At 38.5% G+C, this 27,920-nt stretch overlaps 1 protein-coding gene across 9 annotated transcripts in view, besides 1 other annotated feature; it reads right to left on the bottom strand.

The window, feature by feature from the left end:
• Positions 1-27,920, bottom strand: part of STRBP (spermatid perinuclear RNA binding protein) — a 159,093-nt gene that overhangs the window by 121,193 nt on the left and 9,980 nt on the right. The window contains exon 2 of one of the 9 annotated variants that reach the window (NM_018387.5): positions 6,144-6,280. The exons of the other annotated variants lie outside the window; for them this stretch is intronic. The gene's annotated coding sequence lies outside the window, so the exon portion shown is untranslated. The remainder of the gene's footprint in view (positions 1-6,143; positions 6,281-27,920) is intronic. 9 annotated transcript variants of the gene reach the window in all.
• Positions 3,209-3,288: an enhancer, noted in NCBI's record as "active region_28934". NCBI's record gives its function as "activates an Ori minimal core promoter by ATAC-STARR-seq in GM12878 lymphoblastoid cells {active_cell/tissue: GM12878}" and the evidence as "EXISTENCE:reporter gene assay evidence [ECO:0000049][PMID:35858748]".

A 27,920-nucleotide genomic window follows, 5' to 3' on the forward strand; every position in this document is an offset into this window, starting at 1 on the left:
ATGTTTGGCTGCAAAAGCTATACACTATTAATAATTAAAACTAGGTAAGACATGGCCATTTCAGTTAATCACAGGAAAGTTTCTGTTTTAAAATTGCTTTAACTAAACAGCTTGTGTCTTCCACATACTTTTTTCAAGAACACATGTGCATCATTATTTTAATGAAAAGCGTACACACTTTTTTAAATTTCTGGTATTAGTAGGGGGAAAGCACAGGGTATAATAATTGTACCCAAAACAAAAAGGTTAAACCTATATTGAGTTCTAAAGCAATTACAAAATCCTCTTTGCAGAACTCTGTCAGTAACAGAATGTAGGGAGTAAGTGATCTTTCTGCAACCCAGTGGTTCTTCAACTCTGTGTATTATAAGAAAATGCACAGGGAGCTTTTTAAGCTAGACATGGTACCCTCACACCCCTAGAGGTCAATTTAATTAATCTGGGGTGGGATCCAGGTTATCAGTATTTTTTTTTTAACTCTACAGAGATTTTAATGTACAACGAGGCCTGAGAACTACAGACCTAACCTAATCCTTTCACCTGTTATTAGCAGCCTATACTCCTCTATTGCACTTCCAATTTTACTGCACTTCCAACTGCCTTCCACACATCTCCATCTGGAGGGTTGACTCCAAATATAAAAGTCCAATCCTAAAGTCAGTATCTTCTTTCCCAAACTTATTTTCTCTTGTTCCTTTCTGGTCTTTTAGATTGTGAAATATAACTTACAGATGGAAAAATGCATAAAACATATAAGCGCAATTTAATAATCCTTAAACAGTACCCTCATAGTTATCAGCCAAATCAAGAAATATAACACTGCCAGCACCACAGTCTCCCATATTTCTTATCTTGGCTAGTATACCAATTAATCCAGTTACTCAAGTCAGGAGACCAGGGACATCATCTTAAGATTCCTCCCCTTCTCCTGACATCAAATAAATCACAAGTACTAAAGATTTTACTACCAAATTATCTCCCCTCCTCTTTTTTACTGCCATTTTCTTAGTCTAAGTCCTCAAAAGATTTTCTGTCTCTGCCCCACTTGCCTCCAGTTCATTCCATGAAATGATCTCTTAAGGAAATAAATCTGTCACCCACCTTCCCTGACTCCCCATATCTTAACAAGATAGAGTTCTTCATAAACTGGCCTGGATCTCCCTCTCTCTGGTCTCTAATGAACCTACCCCACTTCAAAACTTATACTGCGAATGTACCAATCTCCTTACAGTTACCTAAACACACTATGCCATTTCCTATCTTTCTCCTACTGTTCTTCTATAAGGAATATCCTTCCTTCCCACTGTTGTACTTGAATTCATCTTTCAAAACCCAACTTAGCCAGCTGGATGCAGTGGCTCACACCTGTAATCACAGCACTTTGGGAGGCTGAGGCAGGTGGATCACTTGAGGTCGGGAATTCGAGACCAGCCTGGTCAACATGGTGAAACCTCGGCTCTACTAAAAATACAAAAATTAGCCAGGCTTGGTGGTACATGCTTGAAATTCCAGCTACTTGGGAGGCTGACGCAGGAGAATCGCTTGAACCAGGAGGCGGAGGTTGCAGTGAGCCGAAATCACACCACTGCACTCCAGCCTGGGTGACAGAGTAAGACTCCATCTCAAGAAAAAAGAAACAAAAAAACCTTAGCCGACAATTTCTCCAGGAAGCTGACCCTGCCCCTATTCCATCTATTTCTATAGCCTGTTCTTGTCTGCACCAGTATTTATCACATTGTAGTTATAAACCATTTTCAGTGTCAGCCCAGGTTACAACAGCCCCATACTTGTTCTGGGAATTGTCTCTTCCATCCCTCCTACTTCATTCCATTCACAAAAGTGAGCTTCCAACAGCTCAGCCCTCAGGCAAGCTGAACCAGGGTGGGGCCAGATTCTACCTCCCAGGAATTTGGAATGAAATTAACAGAGAAAACTGGTATGTCTATGTGGCTGAGAATTGTTAGATGTAAAATAAAAGCTCTACGGACAGCCATGTTCTACCATTTGTACTAAAAAGAGAAAAAAGTACATCTTCGAAGAAAAAGAACGAAATGGGCAGAGTTAGGAAAAAACAGTCCTGTGAGCCTTCTGGTTCTTGGTTCCAGCCCTTCCCAAAGCCCCACTGAATTCCTGCCCTCAGGTTCTGTAAGGAAGACCGATTATCTGTAGAAGACAGCTGATTCTTATTTGCAACTAAAAGCTCCAAATAAAACACTACGTTTTTAGACATCTCTTCTATTTATCCTACTAGCACCATGAAGGCAGAAACTGTGTCTTACTCATCTCTCTATCTGCAAGACTAGCAAAGACCCTGAAAAATGCCAGATGCTCAATTAATGACTGTCATCCATGGCACACTAACAGTTATACATTTTTATGTATGTAAATTTTTTCCTCCTTTTTAAAGACAGGGTCTTGCTTTGTCATCTATGCTGGGAGTGCAGTGGCGTGAACATAGCTCATGGCAGCCTAGTACTCCTGGGCTCAAGTGATCCTCTCACATCAGCTTCCCAAGTAGCTGGACTACAGGCGCATACCACCACATCTGGCTAATTTCTTTATTTTTTTAGAGATGGGGGGGTCTCACTACGTTGCCCAGGCTAGTCTCAAACCCCTGGCCTCAAACAATCCTCCCGCATCAGCTTCCCAAGAGTCATTAGGGTTACAGGCCTGAGCCCCTATGCCAGGCTTATGTATATAAATTTGAACTTTAAGAAGTGTTAACAAGTATCAAACTCCAGCTAATTATATGTATGTCAAAATGTTTAGGGGTAAACTGTAAGGATGTCTGCAGCTTATTTTGAAATGAAGCAAAAAGTAAGATGTAATGAAGGTTAAATAGTGGAGTGAATAGATGCATAGATGTAAGATACAGTTAATGAAAGATAATGTTAATTGCAGAATATAGGCTGCACTAATTGCAGAATATATGGAGGTTCACTATACAACTCTTCCAACTTTTTGCATGTTTAAGCTTTTTCATAATAAAATGTTTGGAGAAAAATGTAACAGCAATACATCTGCATTGATTTACATGGGAAAGTCTACATAAATAAACATGCTCATGTTAGCTCATTTCACTGCCCTCTGCCATGAAATGGGAATTCAAAGAACTTTAATAATAGGTGACTCTCCTTTCATTGCACAGTACATTTTCAAAGTGTTTTGTCTTTTCAGTTCACATGCTTCTTTTAAAGTGACAACAGCAAGGCACAATTAAAATGTAAAACTAGGCCGGGCGCGGTGGCTCACGCCTGTAATACCAGCACTTTGGGAGGCCAAGGCGGGCAGATCACGAGGTCAGGAGATTGAGACCATCCTGGCTAATACGGTGAAATCCCGTCTCTATTAAAAATACAAAAAAATTAGCCAGGCGTGGTGGCGGGCGCCTGTAGTCCCAGCTACTCAGGAGGCTGAGGCAGGAGAATGGCATGAACCCGGGAGGCAGAGTTTGTGGTGAGCAGAGATCACACCACTGCACTCCAGCCTGGGCGACAGAGCGAGACGCCGTGTCAAAAAAAAAAAAAAAAAAAGAAGTAAAACTAAATACTTCTAATTTCATGTCTCCTTTAAAACTAGTTTTGGAAAACATTAAAATTAGATAGGCTAATTCAAACCAGTTTTCTGTTACCAAGACTATTCAGAAGACAAAAAAAAAAAAGAGCTGGCAACTTTAATACTGTTAAGTTTCTCTTCACAAGACAGAAAAAACTGAGAATCACAGACTGTTAAAACTGGTCAAAAAGACTAATACTGTACAGGATCCTTACTTCCCAAAAAGAAAACTAAGACCCAAAGAGATAAAATATCCTGCCCAAGACCACCAAGTAACTTTGTAGCAAGGCTCAGACTCAAAACCTGGACTTATCACTAAAAATCTAGTGTTCTTCCCATCCTAGTTGGTAGTCTTAAATCCTGTTTTGTTTTGTTTTTTCAAAAGTAATAGTATATAAAGTGCCTAGTCTCAGCATAAACATTTTGTATTTGTTCAGGCCGAGCGAGGTGGCTGATGCCTGTAATCCCAGCACATTGGGAAGTTGAGGGAAGCAGATCACTTGAGGTCAGGAGTTCAAGACCAGCCTGGCCAAGATGGTAAAACCCTACCTCTACTAAAAATACAAAAATTAGCCAGGCATGGGGGTGCACACCTGTTATCCCAGCTACTTGGGAGGCCAAGGCAGGAGACTCGCTTGAACCTGGGAGGCAGAGGTCGCAGTCAGCTGAGCCTGGGCAACACAGACTCCATCTCAAAAAATAAAAAAAAAGTTTAAAAAAATTTTTTTTGTATCTGTTCAACTGGCTTTTTTTTTGGGGGGGGGGGGTACTGGGTATTCAGGTTATAAATACAAGTGAACACCGGAAACACATTACAACCAGTATTCAAATGACATACCTTATGTAACCACTGAAACTGAACTTCACTAAAATGACCTGAAAGTGTTTTTCCATCAATTTAGGCAAATAAAGAGGCAATGACAGAATTTTAACAACACACTTGCCAGCATTCCTTGTCTGTGGTAGAAGGCCAAAATTTTGCATGTAACTTTTCTAAAAAGTAGGTAACACAAAGCTACAGAAGTTGAAGGATAAGCCTTTTTTAATTTAGGTTTTTTTTTTTCATTTTGCAAATAAATCAATATGTGTATGTTAAAATAATGGATTACAGAGATACAGATAACTGTATCCTTGCAAAACCACTGAAAGAATGCTAGTCCCAGTTAGACTTCACTGAATTTATGATACAACCACTTTTATTTCTATTGTGATTGTCAGACAACTGAAAATCTAATTAAAATCTGTATGAACTAAGAGCAACTTCAGGAAAAAAAAAAAAAAAAAAGTTATCCCAAAGACAACTGAAAATCTAAGTAGAATCTGGATGAAGAGACAAGTTCAGCAAAAAAAAAAAAAAAAAAAAAAAAAAAAAAAAGTTATCCCAGAGAGCTATTGGTTGGTCATTAACCACATGCAAAAAGAATGGCACTCTTTGTCTGATCTCTTCCCTTTCATAGCAAAACTGAAGCTGTAAAGAATGTCTAAAGGGTAGTCTATGGAAAATTAAATTGAAGTCATGTTATTTCTATCTATTAAAATTCAGCTATACTAAAGTCACTTCTGAAATGATTTAGGAATAGAGCGCTCAGCAAAATAAACTTCCAAGAAAAATAATCAAAAATAAGAACACCAGAATGAGTTTGCTACCTGTTCTATTAAAATAGGAATGTGTAAAAGGCTCCATCTTACTTTCTGATTAATAATCCATCTGCACAAATACTTAATATGTGTCATAGTCCACAGCTTCCAATCTCTAAATCAGATTACCACAAACTCTACAACTTAACATGCACTAGCAAGAACATTTCAACACACTTTGAATACAAAAATACTCAAAATACTGAGGAATGGTACCTTACCTTCTAGTGTCAGCAAGGAGAAAGGACTCCTCCAGCTGCTCTAAAGTAGAAAATGTTCCCAATTTCTTGAGTACCATATAGTATAAAGTGGTTTTATCACATAGTACAGCAAAATTATTGGTGAAATTATATGAACACTGTATTTCACAATACATGCTACTTACTAAGAAAAAAACATTAAGTGCCCCAATATTTAATTTCTATTTTTATTTCCTATTTTATTTCTATTTCATTTGCTCATTTTACATGTCACTTTACCGTAAGCAAGTCTATAAAAGTATAATTTTTAAAGAGAGTAAAATCTCTGCTACCCGGTATTACATAAACTGACATATCTAAAACATGGCGTCATTTGTGAACATCATGATGACAGTGAGGCAATACAAGTTCTTAACGTACTTTCTGAATCTTCAAAATGACATCAAATTATCAATAATTCTCATCAAATGATAGTAATTTGCCAGCATAGTATATTGGACATTGGTGATATTAGACACCCTAAGAAAGGATACAAGAGTAGTGACCACAGTAAATATAAAAATTGAATAGGATTTTCTAAAAAAAAAAAAAAAAGTGTGTCATACAAACTTCACTGACTCTGGAGCCATGATGTCTGGATTTAAGTCCCAGCTCTTCAACTTTCTAGCTGGTTTCATTCAATGTTTAACCACCTATGTCTCGATTTTCTCCTTTACGAAGGGAATACCATCACTTACTTTATCTACTTACCTTTATAAGAAGCAACAGTTGAGGCCAGGCACAGTGGCTCGTGCCTGTAATCCCAGCACCTTGGGAGGCTGAGGCAGGCGGATCACTTGCGTTCAGGAGTTCGAGACCAGCCAGGTCAACATGGCAAAACCCCGTCTCTACTAAAAATACAAAAATTAGCTGGGCGTGGTGGCGCACACCTGTAATTCCAGCTACTCGGGAGGCTGAGGCAGGAGAATCACTTGAACCCAGGAGGCAGAGGTTGTAGTACAGAGCCGAGATTGAGCCTCTGCACTCCAGCCTGGGCAACAGAGCCAGACTCCATCTCAATAACAACAACAAAAAAGCAAGAGTTGAATGTGTGTAATAATACTTTGCAAACCACAGCAGTGAGCTATTCTAACATTCCTACTGAAATCTACAGTGTTACAGCTGCGGCAGAAAATTGCTAACTACCAAAATCCACCCTGTTTCTTCCAAATAACAGAGTTGTAGCTAGGACAAGGCTCTCACCTTTACATTCTGTAACTGAAAATGCACTCCCAAGAACATTTCAACACTGATGAAATACTCAAAATAGTACAGAATGACACCTTACCTCTTAGTGTCAGCAAAGAGAAAGAACACTCCAATTCCCAATCCCCTGCAGCTAGATGAGGCAATGAGACTAAGCCTTCAGCAATGGGAGGAGAAATTATATTTGTACAACTTTCACCTCACTTGCTTAAGACAAAATTTCTTACCCTGTGCTTCCAACAAGAACAACCTTGAAAGCTGTGCATTCGAGATGATACAGTCCCCATTCACCTACGTCCCCAAATGCCTGCATAAAGGACAGCCACATGCTGATGTGGAACACCTGCTCTCAACTACTGTGCGCTGAATTCTGGGGTTTCAGCCATTGTATTTCAGGGCTCTATTTCAGCAACTGGGTTACTTAAGTAATACAATGGCAAACCCCTTACAGCGGGAGAAAGGTGCAACTATAAAATCCCAAACAGGCACAAGCTTTTAATGCCTTCACACAAGGTAACACATAAAAAGTAAAGTTCTCAATAGGACAGTTTCCCAGAAAGGTGTTACCTCAGGGGAGTGTTAAAGCATAGTAGATAAGAGAATAGGCCCTAAAGTCAGATTGCCTGGGTTCAAATCCCTTCTCCACCACTTGCCACCTGTGTAACCTTGAGATCGGAACTTAACCTTTCTGTCTCTGTAAAATGAGAATAAAAGCAGGACTCACCTCACTTAATTGTTGTGATGTTTAAATGAAAAGAAAACTCCACAGTTTAAAGCTGCTTAGCAAAGTGCATAGCACACAGCAGTAACAGTAAACGTTAGCATTTCTTATTTAAAATTTGGCCAAATGAGGTAGCTCACGCCAGTAATCCCAGCACTTTGGGAGACCAAGACCGGAGGATCGCTTGACGCCAGGAATTCAAGACCAGCCTAGGCAACATAGCAAGACTCCCATTTCTAAAAAATACAATCAAAGAATACATGATACTGCACAATTTCAGTGAGGTGATCACGTATCAATAAGGCTAGCAGAATGCTAACAAAGATTCTCTACAACCTACTTGGTGGTGCAAAATGTTCTAGGAGATATACAATTAAACCTAGATTCCCTTAAAGGCAAACTAAGCGCCATCCAACTTTCAGTAACCAAGGAAGACAGCTGCATAAAAGCAGCATGACCTAGGGTTTAGCTACTTACAAAACCATTATAGTGACTAAGAGAGAACAGTACATTGTACTAGGGCACCCTAATTTCAGCACGGACTGTACAGGAACTCTGACAGCACTGTTTTTCAAAACAAAGAGTCATCCTAACATCCCACGTATGCAAATGAATTGATAAATAGTTAAGATTCAAATAAGCTAAAGATGAGAAGGGAGACTACCCAAGGAAATTTCAGAAATTTGCCCTGTCTTTCTAACAATAAATCTCACAGCATGAAACAGAGCTTTATTATTTTTACACACAAAAGAGAAAAGCTATAACAGAATTAAACTTAAGTATATAATAAAAACATTTCCATATTTTTAAAAAAGAGACACCCCCCCACAATAAATTCCACGTTAGAATGCCATCTGGGAGCAGGCAAAAGTTCAATGAATTGTAAAGGCAGGAAGGTAAATTCGATCATAACATTACAAAAGTTTCAGAATGAGAATTTTTAAGTTATTATTAAAGATTTCCTTAGCAGTGGCAGTAACATTTATGCTTTCCTGCCCCTAAAAATAAAAATACATAAAATAAACATCTTCTTAATATGGAATGCCTAGGCTGGGCGCGGTAGCTCACGCCTGTAATCCCAGCACTCTGGGAGGCTGAGGCAGGCGGATCATGAGGTCAGGAGATTGAGACCATCCTGGCTAACACGGTGAAACCCTGTCTCCACTAAAAATACAAAACATTAGCCAGGCATGGTGGCGGGCGCCTGTAGTCCCAGCTACTCAGGAGGCTGAGGCGGGAGAATGGCGTGAACCCGGGAGGCAGAGCTTGCAGTGAGCCGAGATCGCGCCACTGCACTCTGGCCTGGGTGACAGAGCGAGACTCTGTCTCAAAAACAAAAAAAAAAATGGAATGCCTATCGGGCTTTCCTCTTGTCTATCCAAATCTTACCTTTTTTCCTGGGCCACATTTAGACTCACTGCCAAAACAAAGGCCTGTCCCAATGACAAGCCTACTCTGACCTCATTTGTACCTGATATCACAAACTTAGGACCAGGGCACAGAACGTCTTGCATTTTCCCCCAGCTTCTTATGAATATGACTTATTACTGAAAGCAAGAACTCCTGAAGGACAAGGACTGTCATCTCTTTTTCCTATGCTATTCTTATAACAGGAGCAGAGTAACAATATCACCTACAATTTACTAAATGTCTGGCACTGACCTAGGAACTATACACATAAGTTTTAAAGGATAGTTATAAAATATTTGATAAATACAAATTATTCAGTGTAGCATCTGAATTTATGAAATGTTCCTAAAATGAGTATCTGCAAACTAGCCACCTGACACGAGAAGTACTACATTACTATTATTGTTGAAGCTATAAACAGTCTTATCTTCACAGCAGACCTATGAGGCAAGTACAGGTATGCCCCTAAGGGAATACAGGCTCAAAGAAGTCAAGTGATTCATCCAATGTCACAAACTATTAAGTGAGTCCTCACTCAAACCAGGTCTTCTGACCAAAAAAATAAGCCCATTTTCTTTCCACCATATCTTACTATATTATGGGATTTGCTCTTCTCCTCTACCCACCTAAGTCCTACTTATTCTTCAAGTTCCAACTCCTCCAAGAAATCCTTTTCAACTACCATAGCTTATTCTTTTTTACCTCTCTTTTCATCAAAATTCAATGAAAGCAAGGTCTATATTTAACATTCCTTTTTTCTCCTTCAATTTAGCATTATGCTAGACCCAGAGTAGTTACTCAACCACTTAATATACTGTATGATGCTTTCTTCATGAAACCATTATATTATTATGTATAAAAATGTTATTGTCTGCCCACCACACCGAAATCTAGAGATCCTGCATTTTCTTTAATGTTATCAAGTCTTTGAATTCAAAGAGGCAAGCCAAAAAGAGAGAGAAACACAGAGACGTATTTTACTAGCATTTCACTAAAAGCAAATATCACTAGCTAATTTTCTCACAAAAAGTAGTTTCTATTATTTGTCTCCTCTTATCTTTCAACAGGATTGATAGAATCAATGGATATCACAAAATTCAGGTTTCAGAGAAGGCATTGATAGAATTCATTTTTCTATATCCTTATCTTTCTATAACTTTAGTCGCAAACATACAAGAGCATCAATGGCTAAACCTTCCTAGGCTTTGTTGGCTCTGCCTTCCCCTCCTCCAGACCTCATAATGTGCCAGTGCTCCAAGGCTCTGTCCCAGGCCCCCTTCTCTGGTATCACACTGTCTTCTAAGTGGCCTCTCCCAGTTTTATAACTCTGTATAATGTCTATATACAAATCACCACACTATATCAACAATCCTGACCTCCGCCTGGACTCCAAACTTGTATATCCAATTGATGGCAAACATCAGTTAAAATATAAAGTGATTGGCCGGGCATGGTGGCTCACACCTGTAATCCCAGCACTTTGGGAGGCTGAGGCGAGTGGATCATCTGTGGTTGGGAGTTCATGACCAGCCTGACCAACATGGAGAAACTCGATCTTTACTAAAAATACAAAATTAGCTGGGCATGGTGGCACATGCCTGTAATCCCAGCTACTCGGGAGGCTGAGGCAGGAGAATCACTTGAACCCAGGTGGCGGAGGTTGCGGTGAGCCAAGATCACACCATGGTACTCCAGCCTGGGCAACAAGAGCAAAACTCCATCTCAAAAAAAAAAAAAAAACAAAGTGATTTAAAAAGGACTATCAACTGGGCACAGTGGTGCACACCTATAATCTCAGCACTTTGGGAGGATGAGGCAGCAGAATCCCTAGAGTCTAGAAGTTCAAGACTAGCCTGGGCAACAAATGGAGAATTTGTCTCTACAAAAAAGAATTTTTTTCAATTAGCTGGTTGTGGTGGTGCGCACGCCTACGATCCCAGCTACTCAAGAGGCTGAGGTGGGAGGGTCACTTGAGCCCAGGAGCTCAAGGTTGCAGAGAGCCGTGATCGTGCCACTGCACTCCAGCCAGGGTAACAGAGCAAGACCTTGTCAACCCGCACACACAAAAAAAAAAATCAATTTTTTTTTCTCCAAAACATACCTTGTTCCTCTCCCAAGTCTTACCAATCTCACTGGATAACAATAATCATCCAACCAAGTTTTAAAAGAAAAAAAAAAATCTAGGCATTATCTTTGATTCCCTTTTCCTGTGGCCATGAAATACAGAACACATCCTGTTGACTCTATCTTGAAAATATATCCTGAATCCTTTCCTAGAATAATCACCTTTCACCTGGTCTGAAATAGCTCCCTAATTCATCCTCCTGCTTTTGTTCTGGTCTCTCTCCATACAGCAACCTTTTCACTCCCTTAATCGAAACATTCCAGTGGCTTCTCATCACCCTCAGAATAAAAATCATACTCCTTACCTTGGCTTACAAAGTCCCAGGTGATCTGGCCCCTGCCTACCTCACCAACCTCATTTGTACTACTCTCCCTCTTGTTCATTACACTCCAGACACCCTGTCCTCCTTTTTAGTTCCTTCCACACACCCACTGTGTCCCTAGCTGTTCCACTAGCTGTTCCCTCTGCCTGGAATAGTCTTCTCCCTTTTCTTCAAAAGGCTGGCTCTTTCTTGACATTCAGATCTCACCACCACAAACAAATGAGATTTCTTCAGAGGCCTTCCCTGATCTAATCAATCAATTAGCCACCCCACTATTTCAAGGTCAACCTGTTTCGATTATCTGCATAGCACTTAATTGAGGTATATCGTTATTATTCATATACTATCTCTTCATTAGAATGTAAGGTCAATGATTAGGGACCTTTACCACTGTATTCTGGTGCCTAAAACAGTGCCTGGCCCATAACAGAAGTTCATAAAGATGTTGAGTGAAAATTTTATGAATAAATGAATAGCCAGGCACGGTGGCTCATGCCTGTAATCCTAGCACTTTCAGAGGCCAAGGTGGGCAGATCACTTGAGGCCAGGAGTTTGAGACCAGCCTGGCCAACATGGCAAAACCCCGTCTCTACTAAAAATACAAAAAATTAGCTGGGCATGGTGACATGTACCTGTAGTCACAGCTACTCAGGAGGCTGAGGCAGGAGAATCGCTTGAACCCAGGAGGAAAAGGTTGCACTAAGTAGAGATCACACCACTGCACTCCCGCCTGGGTGACAGAGTGAGACCCTGTCTCAAATAAATAAATAAACAGAATTGAAATGAAATTGCTTCCACTTCCACAGCTCTATTAATTATGGTTTTTAACACCAAAAAGGGAGGGAGGGCTAAAAAGTTTAACATTTTGCTAATTACAAAGAATTCTCTCCATACAATTTAAGTAATTTGAGTATTTTCTCTACAGAACTACTTCTTTCTAGTCTCATTCCAATCTATTAAAATCCAATGGTAGAGACACTCCACAGTAAAAATGTCAATTCTTCCCAAATTTATCTATAGATGTAATAAAATTTTTACCAAGGATTTTTATAGACATAACCAAACTTATTCTAAAACTTACATGGAAAGACACAAGACCAAGAAAAGCTAAAACAATTTTTAAAATAATAAAATTGGAGAAATTCTACCAAATTTAAAGACTTATTATATAGCCACAGTAATCAAGATTGCGTGGTATTGGTAGACGGACAGACACAGAGATCGATGGAGTAGAACAGAGAAGCCAAAAACAGATCCACACAAACATGTCCAACTAATTTCTTAGAAAAATGCAAAGCAATTAAATGGAAGAAGGATAGCCCTTTCAACAAATGCAGCTAGAGGAATTAGACATCAATAAGACAAAAAAAAAAAAAAAAAAAGAAAAATAGAGCTTTCATCTAAACTTCACACCTTACACAAAACCTAATTTGAAATGAATCACAGACTTAAAACTATAAAACTTTCAGAAATAAACACACTTTTAGGAAAAAATCTTTGGGGCACAGGGCTAGTTGAAGAGTTCTTGCAAAAGCAAGATTCGTAAAAGGAAAACCTGATAAACTAGACTTGGTCAAAATTAATTTTTGTTCTATGAAAGACACAATTAAGAGGATATAAAGACAAGCTACAGCCTAGGAGAAAATAATTACAAACCACATACCCAATAAAGGACTTCTAACTAGAATATATAAAGAACCCTCAAAACTCAACAGTTAAAACAAATAAAAATTAAAAAACAAGAATCCAATTAGAAAATGGGCAAAAACATGAACAAACATTTCACTGAAAAGCAGATGGCAAATAAGCATATGAAAACATATTCAAAATCATTATCCAGAGACATGCAAATCCAATCATAATGAAAAGAATTACTACATAAGTATCGGAATGGTTAAAATAAAAAATAATTCATTGCTGAGGGAAATGTAAAATGGTACTTTGGAAAAGTTTAGAAGTTTCTCACAAGGCTAAATGTAGTCTTACAACACAATACAATAGGAATTGTGCTCCTAGATATTTATCTAAATGATCTGAAAACTTACATCCACACAAAAGTCCACACACAAATGTTTATAGCAGTTCTGTTCATAATTTCCAAAAACTGGGAACAACCAAGATGTTTTTCAATAGGTGAATGGATAAACAAATTGTGATATAATCACAGTTGAATACTGTGGTTCATCCACTATAGGATATTATTCAGCAATAAAGAGAGATGGGGGGAGAGTAAGAGTTATCAAGCCATGTAAAGACATGGAGAAACCTTAAATGCATATAGCCTAGCAAAAGAAGCCAGTGTGAAAAGGTCAGATACTATATGCTTTCAACTATATGACATTCTGGAAAAGGCAAAACTATGTTAACAGTAAAAGGATCAGTGGTTGCCACGAACTGGGGGTACAGGAGGGCTGAACAGGTAGAGAACAGATTTTTAGGGCAGTAAAACTATTCTGTATGATACTGTAACAGTGGACACATGTCATTTTACATTTGTTGTCAAAACCCACAGACCTGTACAAGTCACAGAGTCCTAATATAAGCCATAGACTAGTTAATAATAATGCATTAATACTGCATTATTGTTCAACAATTTTCACAAATTTACCATGGTAACAGATGTTAATAAAAGGGGAAAGTCATGAGGGAAGAAGGTATATGGGAACTCTCTGAATTATCTGCCCAACTTTCTGTAAACCTAAAACTGCTCCAATGAAGTCTACTAATCTTTCTCAAAAAATAGTATTGATGTCAAACGCTGGCAAAGATGTAGAGAAACTGGATCACACATACACTGCTGGTGGGAATGTAAAGTGATACAGCCACTCAGAAAAAGTACAGCACTATCTGAGAAAACTAAAAATGCATTTATCACATAACCCAGCAATTGTACTCTTGGGCATTTATCCCAAAGAAATGGAAAATTATGACCATTCAAAAGCCCATCCACAAATGTTCACAGCAGCTTTAACAGTAATAGCCAATATGGAAACAATCCAAATGTCCTTCAACAGGTGAATGACTAAACTGTGATACTTCCCTACCTACCATGGAATACTACTTAACTATAAAAAGGAACAAACTACTGACACATGCAACAACTTGGATGGATCTCAAAGGAATTAGCCTGAGTGAAAAAGCCAAGCTGAAAAGTTTACATACTATATTACTTCATTTACATAAAATTCTTGAAATGATAAAATTACAGAGATGGATTACTCAGTACATTATTTCCTACAACAGCATGTGAATCCACAACTACCTCAAAAAAAAAGTTTTATAAACTCCAAAGGTAAAGATATATTCTCTAAAACCAAATTTTTCCCCTTGAGTGGGCTAACAAATTTCCCAGAGCGGGAGTTCTAAGCCTCATATGCACACTGGAATTACCTCTAAAAATCCAGATGCTTAGGTAGCATCCCAAACCAATTAAATTAGAATCCTCAAGGTGAAATCCAAGCATCTGTATTTCTTTTTTTTGTTGTTTTTGTTTGTTTGTTTGTTTGAGACGTTGTCTCGCTCAGTCGCCCAGGCTGGAGTGCAGTGGCACGATCTCGGCTCACTGCAAGCTCCGCCTCCCCGGTTCACACCATTCTCCTGTCTCAGCCTCCTGAGTAGCTGGGAGCTGCCACCACACCCAGCTAATGTTTTTGTATTTTTAGTAGAGATGGGGTTTCACTGTGTTAGCCAGGATGGTCTCGATCTCCTGAACTCGTGATCCGCCCTCCTCAGCCTCTCAAAGTGCTGGGATTACAGGCGTGAGCCACCACGTCCGGCCTCAAGCATCTGTATTTCTTTTAACTCTCAGGTAATTCTAACGTTCAATCAAGAATGAGAATCAGTATCCTCCAGAGCTAGAGAGTCTTTTTAAAAGCAACCTTTACTAACATGTTAATAAGATTATTAACAGTTGTTAAGGATCTGGCTGTTAACAATTCACTAAAATCTTAGCCACAAAAATTATCCCACTGATAAATGGAAACTTTAACCCAAACCTCACTCAGCTTCCAGAAACAAAAGGATTTAGCCCAAGAAAGACAATAGTTCATTATGGTTTATTTTTAAATAACGTTCCTACTCGGCAATGGAGTTTGAGTCTGAAATTGAATGGTAGGTTCACCTTTATCTGTGAAACTTCTGTAAGTACAAAAATGGATATATTAATCTGGCTTTCCAAAATCTCTCAAGCCAAAAGGTTACAATATTCCATTTTAGACTTAACCTAAAATCAAAAGGAAAGATTTAAAATAACCTCGTGACTTTCACAAATTTAACTACCCACAGACAAACCAGGAGAACAAGGTACAGAACATGAAACATTTCGAATGAAGTATTCTTTTCCAACTGCATGTGAAAAGGCAACATTGACAGCATCACAAAAACCTTAATTTAAAACTAAATGTCACATAAGAACACCATATACACCCAAACAAACCCACATACCACATAATTCAACACATCCGGGCAGCAGTGGCTAAATAATGGACTAGCATGAATACTGCAAGGATTTTGGCAGACCGATGTAGAGTCGCTCACATTTCCTTTGCCTTTAACAGTGCCTGTTACATTACTAATGTAGTTTTTGGTTTTTAGGTTTGTTTGGAGTTTCATTGGGGTTTAGGGGGATGAGATTCCAATTATACTGTATAAATTATTAAGTTAGATTCTCAGCCCAGGAAAATTAAGTAAAACAACAATACTATAACATAACAGAATTTGACAGTTGTGTATTGCTTAAAACATTAAAGTGATAAGGCCATTTTTAAATATGTGTAATCTTTTTACAAGTTCAGAAGAACCACAAATTATGGAGCTACAAACCACCAGCTATTCAAAGGAAAATTGTAGCTTATAAAATATTGGCTGACTGCCAATACAAACAAATTTTTTCCCCTCAAAAAAGCTTTGTAAGCCAAAATACTGTTTCAAAAGTGACTATAACCATCTTATTCAATCAAGTAGTAATGTTATTACACAGTAAAGGTAAGTCAATTCTTGGCCTAAAACAACCTGTAAAAACCTACTAACAAACTATTTCTCACCAATATAGTAAAATATCACCTTGAACTTAGAAATCAAGATCTGGAAAATGTTAATCCATTACTATTTTACCAAAATGTCATCAGGCAATTAATTAAATAACAACAATAATTTAAAAAAAAGTTTTGAAAAAACCAGATTGAAAAAATACCAATCAATGAATTTATTATAAAAGGGGAGAACAGCCACTACCCAATGCCCCCCTCAAAAAGCTATCCTTTGAAAAACAGCAAAAACTCCTCTACAATCCAAAAATATTTTTTTCAACTTACTGCCCAAATGGAAAGGTAACAGAAGACAGAGAGGTGGATTCAAATCCCAGCTGTACTTTTTTTCTTTTTTTTGAGACGGAGTTTTGCTCGTCACCCAGGCTGGAGTACAGTGCCACAATCTCGGCTGACTGCAACCTCCACCTCCCGCGATCAAAAGATTCTCCTGCCTCAGCCTCCTGAGTAGCTGGGATTACAGGCTCCCGCCACCCCATCTGGCTAATTTGTTGCATTTTTAGTAGAGACAGGGTTTTATCATGTTGGCCAGGCTGGTCTCGAACTCCAGACCTCAGGTGATCCACCCACCTCAGCCTCCCAAAGTGCTGGGATTACAGGCATGAGCCACTGCGCCCAGCCTCCTAGCTGTACTTTTAACTAGTAAGCACCCTAGGCAACTGATTAGTCCAGGCCTCAGTTTTCTCATTTATAAAATGGAAACACCATCACTCACCCCACAGTGAAACTGCTGTAAGGATCTAAAGATGCAATGTGTGTAAAATGCATATCACAGTATCTGAACAAAGTAGTAAGCACCCCATAAATACAGGCCAGAATTACTGCATTCAGTAAATGGAGAAATCAGAATCTCCACACGGATGGAGAATTTAGATGTCGTATGTAACTAAAATATATCTTAACATACATGGATTGAGAATTTGGATGTCTTAAGTAACATCAGAGCTGAGTTGAAAAAGTTGAAAAAAACAACAATAATAATAGTTGCCATGAGTGCCTTCTATTGCTAGGCACTTTGTAAGTTTTTTTAAATCGTTATAATAATTCAGTAAAGGAACAACTAAGCACAAGGTATACACAAGGTGCTTTAGGAAGCATTAAAACATTTCTATGAAGTCTTGAGTGGAGATCTTTACTCTGTGTATGTATATATTTTTCCTCCAAAGCAAGGTATCTGAGTATTTCTATTCTATTCTAATGAGAAACATAAATGCAAATAACATAATACTCAAATCTATGTGATCTTGGCATATTTAACTTAGTCTTTTCTCATCTATCAAATAGCAATAACAGACTTCTCCCACCCCTATCGTGTTTTTTTTTTTTTTTTTTTTTTTTGAGATGGAGTCTCACCCTATTGCCCAGGCTAGAGCGCAATGGCACGATCTCGGCTCACTGCAACCTCTGCCTCCTGGGTTCAAACAATTCTCCTGCCTCAGGCTCCTGAGTAGCTGGGATTACAGGCACATGCCACCATGCCCAGATTTTTTTTATTATTATTTTTAGTAGAGACGGTGTTTTACCATGTTGGCCAGGCTGGTCTCGAACTCCTGACCTCGTGTTCCGCCTGCCTCAGCCTCCCAAAGTGCTGGGATTACAGGCATGAGCCACCGCGCCCAGCCGAATTATTTTTTTAAGGCAAATAAAAACCTGTAAAAATACTGGAAACTATACAAACCTATAAAAATAGGGTAACAATGTGAGAATAAAAATATAAATTGCAACATAATTTTGTAAGCCTAACATAATTATTCAGTGTTAATTCTCCAGTATAACCTGATGTAATGATTACCTGAATGAGCACTGTCTGTACTTTCCCATAATAAAGAATGGCTTCCTCTCTCCTTGTATGTCACCTTGTTATAGAGAACTTGCATTAGTCATCTTTTTACAAGGTTATATGTCTTACCCCTTCAGCTAGACTATAAACTACTAAAGAGAAGGAACCGTTTTTCATAATTCATATCTTTAGCAGTACCTAATACACTGCTCTGTCTATAAAAAGCACTCAAATATTTAATGACCTATTCGCTGCATTTCAAAATTTGGCAGCTCTTTACTTCAAGGAATAAGATGGTTTCTAAGACTAAGGCTTAAGTAGCAATCCATTTCATAGTAATTTCCAGATTATCTCTTATTAAGGCTGTAGGCCAAGCCACATGGCTCTCACCTGTAATCCCAACACCTTGGGAGGCTGAGACAGGAGGATCACTTAAGCTCAGGAGTTGGAAACCGCAGGTCACAATGAGACCCCATCTCCACACACACACAAATTTTTTTAATTAGCCAGGCATGGTGGTGTGCATCTGTAGTCCCAGCTACTCGGGAGGCTGAGGTGGGAGGATCACTTGAGCCCAGGAGGTCAAGGCTGCAGTGAGCTGTGATCATGCCACTGCACTCCAGCCTGGGCAACAGAGTGAGACCCTGTCTCAAAAAAATAAAAATACGCTTTGGAAGGCTGAGGCAAGAGGATCACTTGAAGCCGAGCTTGAGACCAGCCAGGGCAACATAGCAAGACTCCATCTGTACAAAAAAATTAAAAAACTAGCTGGGCATGATGGTGCATGCCTGCAGTCCCAGACACCAAGGAGGCTGGAGTGGGAGGATCACTTGAGCCCAGGAGTTCAAGGTTATAGTGAGGTATGATTGCACCACTGCACTTCAGCCTGGGTGGCACAGTAAGACCCTGTCTCAAAATAAAAATTATTTTTTAAATCTGTTTTTAAATTATTTTTAATTAAAAAAATATAAAGCAACCGAGTCACTCCTTTTAGCTTACCAATTTTTCTAACTTTGCAGTTCTGCAAGTGTGGTTTAGGAACCCCTGGAGGTCCTCAAGACCTTTTCAGGGGTCTGCATGGCCAAAACTATTTTCCAAGTAGTATGAAGGCACTATGTTTCTTTTCCACTCTCATTCTTTCCAGAGTACAGAGTTTCCCAGAGGCTATATAACGTTGAAGACGGAACATGAAATAGGTCACATTTGGAAGATCAAGATAATTCAATGAATCAATATTTTCCAATGGCCAATGCATAATGTTATAAAACCATGTATAGATAAAAGATCCAATCAAAATGCAAAGACCAATGGATTTTAATGTAACAGGACACAAAATGTTCACTGATCTGGTTTCAGATTCTATCAGGATACTACCATTTGTCAAGTTTTGGTGTAGTATCAAAGAAGAATATCCAAAATTATCTGAAAAAGCTATTAAAATATTTCTCCCTTTTCCAGCTACATATCTGTGTGAAGGCAGATTTTCTTCTTCATATACTTCATCAAGAATATTAAAACAGACAATGCAGAAGCAGCTATCTGAACCCAGCTGTCTTCTAGTAAGTTAGGCATTAGTGAGAATTACAAAAATGTAAAACAATGCTAGTCTTCTCACTAATTTTCTTTTGTCTTGTGTTAACATATAATAGTTTATTAGCATTTTTAAATAAATATTTAAATTTTTATCAGATATAATTTCCGATAAATATCAACAGATACAACTCACATAAACAAGAGATCGTTGGGGTCCTCGATAATGTTTAAGATTGTAAAAGGGTCTATAGTTAAAAAAAAAAGTTTTTTTTGAGAACTGCTGGCCTAACTATATGTAGGTTGATTTGGTGTTCCCAATGCTAGGTTTTCTATCCATTTCACTAGGGAAATGCAGCCATTTCTCAGGAATGAACCATGTCAACACTGTACAACTTGGAGCAGTGGTCACTTAAGCTCTTGACAAATGTTTTGCACTCATTTTGCAATCAGCAATCCTCCTCCAATGAACAACAGATTTTCAGCAAAAGGCTTTGGCAAAAACATCAACCATTCTTTGATTCCCATTTCATAACGAGTAATCACTTAGCTATATGATCTGTTTTAAAGGAAAGCAGGGCTGGCTACAGTGGCTCACACCTATAATCCCAACACTTAGGGAGGCTGAAGCAGGAGGATGGCTTGTAGCCAAGAGTTCAAGACCAGGGTGACAAAACGAGACCCCATTTCTACAAAAAAACAAAAAACAAAAAATTTTTTTTTAATTAGCCAGGTCTGGTAATCCTGTAATCCTAACTACTTGTGAGGCTGAGGCAGGCAGACCACTTGAACTCTAGGAGTTCGAGGCTGCAGTGAGCCATGATCGTACCACTGCACTCCAGCCTGGGCAGTGGAGAGAGAGAACCTCTCTGTCTGTCTCTGTTTCTTTCTCTGTCTCTGTTTCTTTCTTTTCTTTTTTCTTTCTTTCCTTCTTTTCTTTTCTTTTCTTTCTTTCTTTTCTCTCTCCCTCTCTCAAAGAAGAAGAAGAAGGAGAAGGAGAAGAAAAATAGTACAAGAGAACGGACGGCACTTACTGAGCCCATCGCAAATGTCAGGCTCTGTGCTATACTTACATTATCCCATAATCTTCAAGACCCCTCAAGACCCCACAAAGTAACACAAAGCAGGAAACTAACTCAGATTTACTTGCCAAAGGTCACACAGTTAATACATGGTGGAATCAGGACTCAAAATCAGGCCTGTGTGACTCCAAAGTCCAGTGCTCTCTCCACTTTACCAGGTAACCTTCATAATACCGGATTGGAAATCAAACCTGTCACTTACTTTCTATGTCCCTGAGTGAGTCACAACTTCTCTCAGCCAGCTTTTTCATGTACAAGATAAGAGGGTTAGTATAGCTGATCTCCAAAGTCCCCTCCATAGCTAATATTCTTAGATTGCAATTCATCACAACCTCAACCTTACAGTTACAGTGTAAAAGTCCTTTGTATGTCTTTCTAAACAGAACAAGAGAAACAATGCAAATAATGGGGAAGTAATGAGTAAAATTATTAGGCTAAGATATAGCTTTTCATGCTTTAACATTAACAATCATCATGAAATACACTATAAGCATTTAGTAGGCATTGTATACTTTTCATTCCAGACAACAAAAGCTCCCTCCCTTCTTTGGCATAAGCTTGGGCATTCGGCCAGCTGACATCTCTAAGGGTGGTAAGCACCTGTTAACATGCTACACAGGAATACCTAACTGAAAGGGATTGCTATAAGGGAGCAAATCCCTCATCATTAGCTTGCATAGCACCATCTATTTTTTTTTTTTTAGCTCAATTATACAATACCCAATGAAGGTATTTGCCAGGCATTTCTGAGAAAAAGGAAAAGTTGCAGGAAATGGTGAAAACTGACACATGGCACTTCAACACACAAACAAAACACAAATCCAAGAAGAAACGTGCTGATTGCAGGACAGTATACAGATGAGGTTTTCCTGTATTTGCACCGTGATGTTGGCTAGGCTATCAAAATTTAGACTTCTTCCTATAACACGGACCATTTGAACACAATTCACTATGTGCCAGATACTGTGCTGAGCCCTTTAGAGACATCACCTCTAACGCTACAGAGCTGTAACATAAGATATTCATTTTAAAAGAGGAAAGGTCTTACAGCTAGTAAGTGACAAAGACTTGAAAACAAATCTGACCAACTCCAGAGCCTGTACTCTTCACAGTACATTTCTGCTGGTTTCAGAGAGAATGAAATGTCACCACTAGGTCAAAACAGAAAAGCAATGTGTAATATTTGAGCCAAGCTACAAGGGCATTTTAAAACTTTTAAATAAAAGTTTTTAAAAGCTTAAAATCCATTTATGGAAGTACCTAGTATTTAGATATTAGCGAAAGTCACAAGGTCACTGTCAAAAATCTATACTTCTTTGGATAACTATCAATACACACACTCAAGACATTTGTAGATGGCTGCTATTGCTATACCTTATATTCTTGTTATGCTCACATAACCTTAAAAAAATCTCTTTGTCCAAAGTAGCCAGAGAGCTGTATTTTACATGATACCATCCTTTTTACCCAAAGCCAGCATATTTTAACATATTACCCCAGGGCCTATTACTGAAGGGAAGTAACATGATTCGGGCCAAAACACAGTAGAAAAGTGACAAGGTTTATGAGGTGACTTACTAGGGGCTTTCAAAGGAATGACTGACAACTGGCCTACCAAAAGTTCTTTCAAACTTTAAAAAAGCTAAAATAAAGTTTTTTAATAGGGGCAAAAATGTAATTACAAAAGTCTTCAATACACACAATTTGAGTTATGCTTCACTGGAATTGAATCACCACTTTTTAAAAGGATCTTAAAATGGGAAATCAATCAAGTTCCAATACTGCTCAGACTAAACCACTCAAGCAAATCAATTTATGAATTTAAAATAAAATCATATAAAGACTCATTAAAAGAGAAGAAAAAAAGAAACAGATAATTTCTAAGAACAAATGTCAGAAGCTACATTGCCATTTCTTCTAATTGTTCATGATAATGTCCATAAAGAGTTCCAAAGATTATTTCCTATTTTGTTTTTCCTCCTGTGCATACAAATCATAGTGGGACAGGATAAAGTGGCAACTAACAAACACCAACAGGACTAACAAACTCAAATCCCCTTCCCTTACACACTGTACTGCTAAGAGAGTACTGAATCCCTCAAACGAGATGATTCCTTCCATGTGTTTCTTTTTGCCTGCTCATTCCCAAATTTAGTGACAAGAACACCCAACTTTTCAAGCCAAATAGATATGGATTTGAATCCCAGATTGACCACTTATCAGCTAAGTGATTCTAGAGTTACTGAACAAGGCTTCATTTTCTCATCAGAAATACAGTAACCACTTTGAAAGGCTAGTGTGAAGATTAACAATAATATGCACAACGCATGCCTGCTATCAGCATTATTATTCATTATGTGCCTGACACATTCTTTTTTGATGTTGCTGCTGTTTGTAATATCACTATTAAATAGCATAAGAAGGATACTCTGTTTCTCACTGGCAAATCGGAAGCAGGCAACAAAGCACTAGGAGTGACCTGTAATACAAACTTGCCCTAGTCGACCTTACTTGTCACAGCAAAGATTTTTATTCTAATTGCTTAAAAACTTTTCAAACTGCATAATGGGTAAGGGGTTTTATTTTGAAGTGATGAAAATGTTTTGGAACTACATAAAGTGGTGGTTGCTCAACATTGTGAATGTTTCATTTAAACTGAATCGTTCAGTTTAAAATGGTTAGCCTTTTAAAAAAACGTTTTCAGAAGGAACGAGGGGGAAAAAATCTTAATTATTCCAATTGAACATTATTAGGTGTAATAACACCCAATAATGACCAACCAACTAAGCTGGTTAGTGACCAACTCAGCTACGTTCATTTAAGATTTCCTGGTACACATTTCTAAACAGCAGCCTGACATGGTGAAAGCAGCCCAAGACTGAAGGGCAAGAAATCTACCTCTTGCCAGTCAGGAGATCGAGACCAGTCTGGCTAACACAGTAAAACCCCATCTCTACTAAAAACACAAAAACTTAGCCGGGCGTGGTGGCGGGCACCTGTAGTCCCAGCTCCTCGGGAGGCTGAGGCAGAAGAATGGCATGAACCCGGGAGGCGGAGCCTGCAGTGAACCCAGATCGCGCCACTGCACTCCAGCCTGATCACGTGAGACTCCGTCTCAAAAAAAAAAAAAAAAAAAAAAAGAAAGAACAAAAAAGAAATCTACCTCTTGCCCCAACTCTGCCACTAGTTGGGTGTGTGATTTTCAACTAGTGCCTTAACCTCTCTGGAACAAAGCAGGACTAAAAGGATCTCGCAGGTTTCTCACAAGGGTAAAACTTTATATTCTTAGCAAACCAATCATGTGAAATAAAATTGCCAAGATTTAAAAAAATTTACAATATACTCCAAATCTGAAAAACTAAAAGCCATCACACCTCCGGTGAGGTGAAAAATATAAATTATCCTAAATAGGAAAATTTTCTCATTTCAGGACAGTTGGGTCCTACTGACTCCTATTTAATGGAAAACAAAAGGCTCTATAATGACAGTGCCAAAATAATGTTCACTGACAATATTATCTAAGGGCAAAGAAAAAAGACTTAATAAAGAGACGACTAATGTGATAAGCTCAAGGTCACCCTTCTAAACGTAGCCGGTGAATTGCAAGTTTTCAACAAACTCATCATGTCTTTTTTCAACTATTAAAAAATGCATTAAATATATAAATATCATACATCATTAGCCTATAAATAAAAAGTGTACACAATTATCAATATCATTTTGCAAATAATTTTTTTGTCTATCATCTTTGGGTTAAAAACACCTCCTGCTACAGGGCTCTGAAAATGCTATAAATCTAAAAGAACCTTACACTGTTGTTCTTGAATCTGCCTGGCATAGAAAGCTACATCCTCTGATATCTTCTGGTATTTTGTTAAATGTAGGCTGTTAAAGAAATGTTTTGGCAACTAACATCTTAACTACCACTAATTAGGTTAAAAGGCTTGTCCTCTTCCAATGTGGCTCTATGTCCTAAGGGGAAAAACAGGAGTATGGTATGGCAAAAGCATGCAAACCTTTTAATTCAAATAAACACTGCCTTCATCTCAAGGTGATCAAGGTTACTAGTTGGGAACACTCAACTGCTCATCTGTTTTCTTCAAAGACGTAAGAAAGGCACTACTTAGATATCCATAACCAATGAAGCAGCAGTAAAGGAGATTTCAAAGGATAACCTGTAAGTTGTATCAAGCTACTGAGAATACATAGTGTTTTTACAACCAGAGCAACTTATCTAACAAACTTAGTGAAAAGGGTTGAGCTACTTACAGATGAAAAGAAAAATTCAGGTACTGTGTCAAAGTTTTCCAAATCAATTATCTAGATTCTGATGCCAGCAATAGATCCAGCAACTGAGTCTTACTTCTCTTTCTGGGAGTTAGCTATATCAAAATGAAGGCACGAAAGCAACAGATGCACATCCTTTCTAAAGAGAATACTAATTTTCTTTTTATCAGAATCATCATCACCTGTATATAACCATCACACCTGCAAACGTTATACCAAAACCAAACAAATTTTCCTCCTGATCTCACTTCTCTTGGGCTCCCTGCTTATACTGAGGGAACCCCAGGCTGCCAATCAAGTAGGCTTGAAACCCTGTAGTTGTCAGGCTTGTTGCTCAGCCCTCACATTCAGTAGTTACCAAGTTGCAACAGTTCCAAGACATCCTTTCTTTCTTTTTTTTTTTTTTTTTTTTTTTTTTTGCTAGTCTTGCTCTGTTGCCTAGAGTGGAGTGCAGTGGCATGATCATAGCTCACTACGGCTTTAACCTCTTGGGTTCAAGCAATCCTCCAACCTCAGGCTCCCAAGTAACTGAGACTACAGGCAAGCACCACCACACCCAGCTACTTTGTTTCTATAAAGATGTGGTCTCATTATGTTGTCCAGGTTGGTCTCGAACTCCTGAGCTCAACTGATCCTCCGCCTTGGTGTCCCAAAATGCTGAGATTATATATATACCTACTTCCACTACCTATACCTATTTCCACTACCTTTATTGCTTTCCCCCCAAATTATTACAATAGCATTTTAATCAGTGTACAGTAAGTTGTCATTTAATGTACTTGATAGGTTCTTGGAAACTGCGACGTTAGAGGAAATAACATATAATAAAACCAATTTATCAGAGGCTAATTGATATATACAACGGTTAAGTTCTTCTTGTCACAAAAACATCACCAAACTTCTAAATAAAAACCAAAACGCTTGTAATATTAAACACTGAAATAAATGTGAGCTATATATATATGTAAGAAAAGTTAACAAAAAACAAGATGACTACTTAATTATTCCAGTTCAAGAATGCAGATGGCCAGAGCCTATCCCAACAACTCAGGGCACAAGGTGGGCACCAATCCTAGACAGAACACCATTCCGTCACAGCGCACACTCACACACACACCCTCACTCACTCATCCTGGGACCATTTAGACAGACCAATTAACCTAAACTGCGCATCCTTCAGATATGGAGGAAACCAGAGCACCCAGAGAAAACCCACACAGACATGGGGAGAACGTGAAAACTCCATGTAGACAGTGGCTCCAGCCAGGAATCTTTTTTTTTTTTTTTTGGTCAACATTATAATGAAACAACATCGAATGAAACATTATTCGAGAACCAGTCGTATTTATTTCAGTCTGTCTTTCCACGTAACATTGTCAAACTCATAAAGATAGTCCTGATAATGTCCTTTATCACTGGGGCTTTCAAACAGAGTAAGGCTTGAATTCCTTATTCCTGCATTCAAATCCTTCTATCAGTAGCTCCAACATTCCTCTCCAAACTTACGCTCTGCTAATTCCTTTCATATATCGTATCGTCAACAAAATGAACCACTTATTTTCCATACAAATCTTGAGCATTCTTATTTTGCTAATGCTATTCCCTCCATATGGAATTCTCTTTTCCATTTTTCTCATAATCCAGTTCTATTTGTTTTCCATGGCTGATACTACACACTACACACACCCTCGCTGAAATCGCTCTATTATTCCCCTCCACTAGAAATAATTTCTTGTTCTTCTGAATTCTGGATCACTCTCTCTTAGGTACTTACCTTTTTAAAACACACAAACACACACACACACACACACAGACACACACACCCACATCCCATACTATCAACTCCCCTAATAGACTGTAAGCTCATAAAAGTATAAAAGTCAGAGTCCATGAATACTTTATCTCTGGCTGGGCACACTGGCTCATGCCTGTAATCCCAGGGCTTTGGGATACCCAGGCAGGAGGATGGCTTGAGCCCGGCAGTTCAAGACCAACCTGGGCAACACAGCAAGACTTGTCTCTACAAAATAATTTGTTTTTAATTAGCCAGGCATGGTGGCACATGTCTGTAGTCCTAGCTACTCAGCAGACTGAATGGGAGGACTGGTTGAGCCTAGGAGGTTGAGGCTGCAGTGAGCCGTGATCACACCACTGCACTCCAGCCTGGGCAACAGAACAAGACCCTGTCTCAAAAAAATAATAATAATTGTATATATATATAACTTATACAAAAGATACATATTTATGCATAATTTATGTATATATATTTATTTACAAAATTGTATAGAATTATTATATCTATATCTTTGTATATCCCCATGCAACCAGCATAGTGCTTAATAAGGACTCAAGATGAATAAATTAATAAGGATACTCATGAAGAAAAACAGAAATACAGCAAAAAGACGACTTCAAGGCGCATAATATTCCAAAGAAAAACTGAAATTAAAACTTTAAAAAAATTAAACCTTTTCCAAGTATAGACTACAATTAATAAAATAGTTCATTCAAATACTCGGGTTCCTACTAAATGCCAGGCACTGTTCTACTAGGTGCTTGAAATCTACAGAAAACAAAACCAACAAAAATCCTTGCTTTCATGGAGCTTATATCAGGTGGAGAAAAAAAGGCAATAAACAATATAAGCAAAATATATCATAAGTGAAATGGTTTAAAGTGGTATGGAGAAAAAGAGGATGGGAAAGGTTGGGTAAGGAGAACCAGAAATGGAGGAGCTGCCATTTTAATAGGGTGGTAAGAGAAGGCCTCACTGAAAATGAGAGACAAGATGGAGCCAAGCAAATGTCTGAAAAACTGCATTCTGGACAGGGTAAACAACAAGTGCAAAGGACCTGAGACAGAAATATGCCTGGTATGTTAAAGAATCTGCAAGAAGGCCAGGCGTGGTGGCTCACGCCTGTAATCCCAGCACTTTGGGAGGCCAAGGCGGGCGGATCACGAGGTCAGGAAATCGAGACCA

This window comes from Homo sapiens, chromosome 9, assembly GCF_000001405.40.
Source record: "Homo sapiens chromosome 9, GRCh38.p14 Primary Assembly".
Lineage (NCBI taxonomy): Eukaryota > Metazoa > Chordata > Mammalia > Primates > Hominidae > Homo > Homo sapiens.